Raw genomic sequence first — 6250 nt, 5'->3', positions numbered from 1 at the left:
GTTACTCTAGGTAATATAAGGTACTAATTGCCAAGATAAAATAAATTATGTTCTATTTCTTCTATTTGAGTTTATACGGAAACAAGCCAAAGAAAGTTAAATGTCATCCCCCCGACCCTATTTCCTGATGTAACTAACATGAGGAGAAAAACCACTGAGCAGCAGAACCAAAAAGAGTCTGCTTTGATGGGAAGGATTGTCAGTGGACATCAAGAAGAACTCAACTTTGGTCACAGACAAGGTCCACCCTTGAGACTCAGCCCTATCCTTCCTGTATGTTAAAAATAGGCTCCCTCATGGAGATGCTGTGGCCCCAGGAAAAGCCTGGGTTTCCAGTGGGTCAGGTTCATCCTGGGGGAGCCTTACAGATGTCTCATCATCTCTACATTAGTCTGCTAGGGCAGTCATAGTAAAGTACAACAAGCTGAATGGCTTAAACAACTGAAATGTATTTCGCTCAGTTGTAGAGGCTGGAAGTCCAAGGTTGAAGTGTTGGCAGAGTTGGTTTCTTCTAAGTCCTCTCTCCTTGGCTTGCAGATGATGGTCTACTCCCTTTGTCTTCACAGGGTCTTCCCCCTGTGCCTGTCTGTGGCCAAATCTTCTCTTTTTATAAGAATGCCAGTCATGTTGGATTAGCACCCATACTAATGACTTTTTTAACTTAGTTATCTCTTTAAAGGCTGTACCTCTAAATATGGTCACATTCTAAGGTACAAATGAGTTTTGTCAGGGATGCAACTGAACCCTTAACAAGCTTCAACCCTCAGTCCACTGTTTGCAGAATGGAATTGTGTGATTGGTGCCGTGTATTTTTTTGTTTTTTCCTTTTGATTCACACAAACCATCATTGGGCTTTTCTAAGTGTCCTGTGTAAATGAGTACTTGATTCAAACAAATAAGATGGATACACTTGAAAGAATTGAAATTGGTTCTAAATTGTGAAAATTAGTTCCTGAAAATATAAATAAATAGCTGGTTTTATTTGAAGCTACCTAAGTTTCAGGCATTCTTTTTTGTACCAGGTTCAAAGAATTAAAAGGAAAGGACATCTCACCCTTGTGGAGTCTAGGGTATAAAGCAGAAAAGAGCAAGCAAAAAACAAGCAACTAAAATTGAGGTCAATGCTATGAAGGAGAAAGAGGTGATGCAGGAGTGTTTTATAATCCTGAACGGTGACTTTGAATTTTTCAGATATAAAGGTTAGGGAGAGAAGGGGTATGCAATTTCAGACAGCAGAAAGTCTTTGAAGAAATAACTAACGTGACTCCTTTGGAAAACCTCACCATGCTAGTGTGGTTGGAGACCCAAGTGGGAAGGGGCCAGGGTGCCGAGAGACCAGGTTTCAAATTGGCAAGAAAAATATCACAGAGAGATTTGCTGAACCAAAACTCAGCTCAGCCTACTTGCCAATTTTGCCATTTTTGTTATTTTATGCTGGTGCTATTTTTATTCACTGTTGTTCTTTTTTCTGACTAGAGATGGAATTAAGTCCAGGATTCATTTCTGTACTCTCTTTATAGTGTTCTGTCTTACGTATTTTTCCCTGAGAAGGACCAGAGGATGTGGTCGCCTTTTCAAAACTTTGCAGTGGGCGTCCTCATCCCCAACATCCTTCCATACCTCCCTCTGTCCCTATCCTCGCAGTACCCTCAGGTTGCTCAGTTTTTGTTTGCCTCCAGAAGAGGAGGGGAGATTGGGAAGAATGAACTGGGCTAGAACTTCCTCCTGACTTTAGAAATGCAAGTTTGTGCAGCTTAAATTTCTGCCACCCGGAAGGGACTAATCCTGGAGCTGCCATAGGCTTTGGGGAACCTCATCAAGGTAGAGAGTAATGGATAGTCTCTGATTCTTTCTACCAGTGGACCAGCACCTTCAACTCAATTCAGAAACATCAGTAAATCTTTTTCCAGGCTAATAACACACAAAGTATGCTTACCCACATGTATTAGGTATGAGACATTACTTAGTACATACAGTATGTAATCATTACCTATTTTCATAAACAAATGCTACTCAGCACCTAAGTATCATTCCAGTTAATACCCCCACTCTCACACTATGCATTTTCCATGAAAGAAGCATCAAACCACCCTCAAGCCCTCAGAACAGCCCCTATTTATAAAATACTGGGTCCACTCTATTTCATTCATTCATTCATTCCTTTGTTTATGTGACAAACAGTTTTTGAGGAGGTATTAATAATGCCAAGCACTATTCTTGGTGATACAGAAGTGAACAAGGAATGGTTATTATTAATGGCTTCTTTCTAGCATTAAATTCTAAGACCACTCATGTACTTTTCTTAATAAGTCAGCACCCTCATTGACCTCATTTTTTTTCCAAGTGATAAAGGATGTTAGATCACAAGGGAACTACCTGCTGAAAGTTAAAACTCAGTGATGATTGGCAACTAGGAAAAGACAGAAAAACTTTCAACCAGAAAAGCATAGATAATCTAACCCATAATCTCTGGAGATATCTCCAAAGTAAATGTAATTTACTGATATGCATAATGACAAGTGATACATTGAGAAAAAAGCTTAGTTTTTCCTCACTCCTTTCCTCAATTAAATTTACGATCAATTCCTATCAATTATACCTCTTTATCATTTTCTATATTAATACCTTCTTCTTCATTTTCTCTGCTACCATCTTGAATCACACCCATATTATCTTTTTCCTGAATTATTGTACTAATTTTCTACCTGTCATATCTCCTTCCAACATCTCATGACTCCAGTATATTCCCTCCAAAGCCAAGCTGATCACTCTGAAGTGGAACTGTTAATGAGCACTGTTCTTAACTAAAATTATGTAGTGACTCTGTATTTCCAATGGCATGTATTTCAAAATGTCATAAAAAGTCCTTCAGGATTTGGCCCCTGCAACCCTGTCCAATCTCCTTCTTGGCATATGGAATGAACTGTGGCTTGGCTCCAGATCTTAACTCCCTCTTTTCACTGCCCAAGATTCCTTCTTTCCAATGTACATCTGGCAAAACCAAATCACTTTTCAAGAATTAGCACAGTTGTTACTTCCTCTTACTGCCCCTCGCCTACTCCAGCTTTGTACCTCTCCTCTCACTGTGTGTGCACTTCTCCAGAGTTATAGCATATGGTATCTCTTTCTGACATCTGCTCTATGTATCCCCAGATGTTCAACCACCTTAGGGCCAGAGCCAGTCTTAATTATTCATTTCTATGTTCCCAAACCTTCAACAGTACCTGTTGTGTAGTATTTGTCTAGTGAATTTGTGTCAATGAATTTAAATACAGAATTAACACATAAATAGTGAATAAATGCAGTGTCCTCAGTGTAATTAGATAGAAAAAATGAGTAATGATTTAAAAAGGTTTCTATCACACAGTTGTTACAGAATTTTTTAAATGTTTTAAATATTTGAACAGAGAATTGTCAATATTCAAGAGGATTCATTGGTTAAGAACACCCCAAATTAGAGCTGTTAGTATTCTGTGCTATTGTTGACCATTTATACATGTATCTCCCCAGAAAGATAGATGATAGTCTTCTTGAAATAATTGGCCACACCTTCTCTATTACTGTATACCCATCGTATACAAAAATACATATGCTTCATAAATATTGAGGTTTTTACATTTGTTTTTTAAATTGTGATAAAATATATATAACATAAAATGTTACAATTTTAACCATTTTTAAGTATACAGTCTGGTGGCATTAAATACATTCTCACTGTTCTGCAACCATCACCACTGTCCATCTCAAAATCTTTTTCACCATCCCAAGCTGAAATTCTGTACCCATGAAGCACTAACTACACATTACTTTATCCCTCTAAGGCTTGTAACATCTATTCCACTTTCTATCTCCATGAATTTGACTATTCTATGTACCTTATATAAGTGGAAACACAATATTTGTCATTTTGCTACAGACTTATCTAATTTATCATAATTTCTTCAAGATTCATCTATGATATAGTTTGTGAAATTGTTTAAACAATTTTATTCCTTTTTGAGGCTGCATAATATTCCATTGTATATATATAGCACATGTTTTTATCTATTCATCTGTCAACGGGCATTTGGGTTGTTTTCATCTTTTGGCTATTGTGAATAACACTGCCATAACCATCTGTGTATAAAGATGTGAGTCCCTGCTTTCATTTCTTGTGCACATATATCCATAAGTACAATTTCTGCATTATATAGTAATTCTATGTCTAAATTTTTGAAAAACTGCTAACTTGCCTTCTGTCATGGCTACACAATTTGACATTCCCATAAGAAATGCACAAGTGTTCTAATTTCTTCATATCTTCACCAACATTTATTCTTTTTTTTTTTTCAGAGTAGTCATCTTAATGGGTGTGGCCTCTTAAATATTTATGCATAAATGAAAAAGCAAACATGATCTACCGAACTTCTTCATAAGGAAGATCCAGCAAGCGGGTTAATAGATAATAAATAAATGTAGGTACAAGGGCAGTGGTCACTTATTTAAAGCACAGTTTTGGGGAGTAAACTTTTGGTTCTTCCATTTACCAGTTTAGTAAACGACGGAGAAATCAGTATTTTCCGGTTTCTCAATCTGTAAAATGGGTTTAATGACATCAAGTGCACAATGTTATTTTGTCAAACAAATAATGCCAATAAAAGCCCTCCTAAAAGCATTATTCCAAAGAGACCCATTAATAGTGTGATTATTACAGTTTCAACAAATCAAGTGCCAGTGGGGCTTGTGAGACATTTCCTTTTACCACCACCCACCCTTCTCCTAAACATTCAAATAACAGTAGCATTGTGTCTTTCCATTTCCTTGGGAATGAGCAGGGACGCTAGCTGAGAGTCAGAAGTCTGCAGTCTGCATCCTGTTCCTCTTATGAGCCAGTGACCTTTCATAAGGTACTTCACATATGTGAGCTTCTGTTTTCCTCACCTGAAAATAGTGAACAAGATAACTATCTCAAAGCATGGTGGTGAGTAGCAAATGAGATAATGTCTAGAAAAAAGTGTCAGAAGACCTGAAATAAATAATAGCCATATTTGAGTCTAAATCTCTGCTCTCTGCAGAATGAAAATAGGCATGAATTGTTCAATCAGAGAAGCTAATCTGGGCTTTCATGCAAACCATCCATGTGTTCCCCATTTCCCTACCTGCCATAGAGGATCAATGAGATAATACATGTGTATAATTCCCTTGAAAGTGCTTTGGAAAGTATAAAGTACTATAAAATGCAGGTTGTCATTACAATTCTTATTAGGGGTTTCATTCAATGCTATTAAAATTCGACAGCAGGTGGAATAGAAAAGTCAGGCAGATTTCCAAACAGATAATAACTTTTATCAGCATCAGACTGAATCCAAAGTATGCACGCACTTTTATTCAGCAATGGAAATAGCTGCAATTAATTTAATAACCAAGCAAAGCAATGAATTAATGGGAAGTCATTTTCTGATGAATTTTTTCCCAATGAGTAAAAAAAATGACTGAAATAATTAAGCAAATATATTGGTCATGCTGATTTGGAAGCTGGTATCAGGGCAAACTTCATTTGTGCATATACCATGGTCACCTCTTTGTATAAATGTAAATGGGAAGATGAAAGTATGACCTGATACAGAGAGAGTAAACATTGTTGGGAGGTCACCAAATAACATGAAGTCAACCAGTTATAGTATATAGGTAGGAAAACTGAAGATCAGAAGTGAAATGACATGCCTTAGTCCACCCATTTAGTAAGAAGAGCCAGGCCTAGAACTCATGTCTCCCAAATGTCATACCAATAAGATTAAATGAATAAGAACCTCAATTCAGAAGATTTTGGTTTGAGTCCAGACTTTGTTACTTTTAAGAGTATGACCTCAGTGAAAGGTTGTTATTTGTTGGCTTCATTCAAGGCTTTTCATTTTAGAAGTGTAAGATGGGCATTCCAGTGCCTTTTTTGTTGTGTTTTGCACATTTGACCTAAAATCGCTTGGTCAAAACCTTAATCGGTTACTAAGTATGGACAATTTCCTCATTAGCCTCATCTAGAATCTACACTGAACGTAGAACAATGTTTGTTAAACTGGAACGTGCAACCCAATCACCTGATTCTGATTCACATTGTTGCGGTTGGTTCCTGAGGTTCTGCATTTCTGACAGGCTCCTATGTGATGTGGATGCTGCCAATGCATGCACCATCCTCTGAGAACCAAAGACAGAAACAATGTGGAGACCACCTCCCACACAGACCCTTGGAATACTTTACCTTAATTATGTCTAC

Source organism: Homo sapiens, chromosome 8 (assembly GCF_000001405.40).
Source record: "Homo sapiens chromosome 8, GRCh38.p14 Primary Assembly".
NCBI classification, from domain to species: Eukaryota; Metazoa; Chordata; class Mammalia; order Primates; family Hominidae; genus Homo; species Homo sapiens.
Note: the sequence above shows the minus strand (reverse complement) of the source record.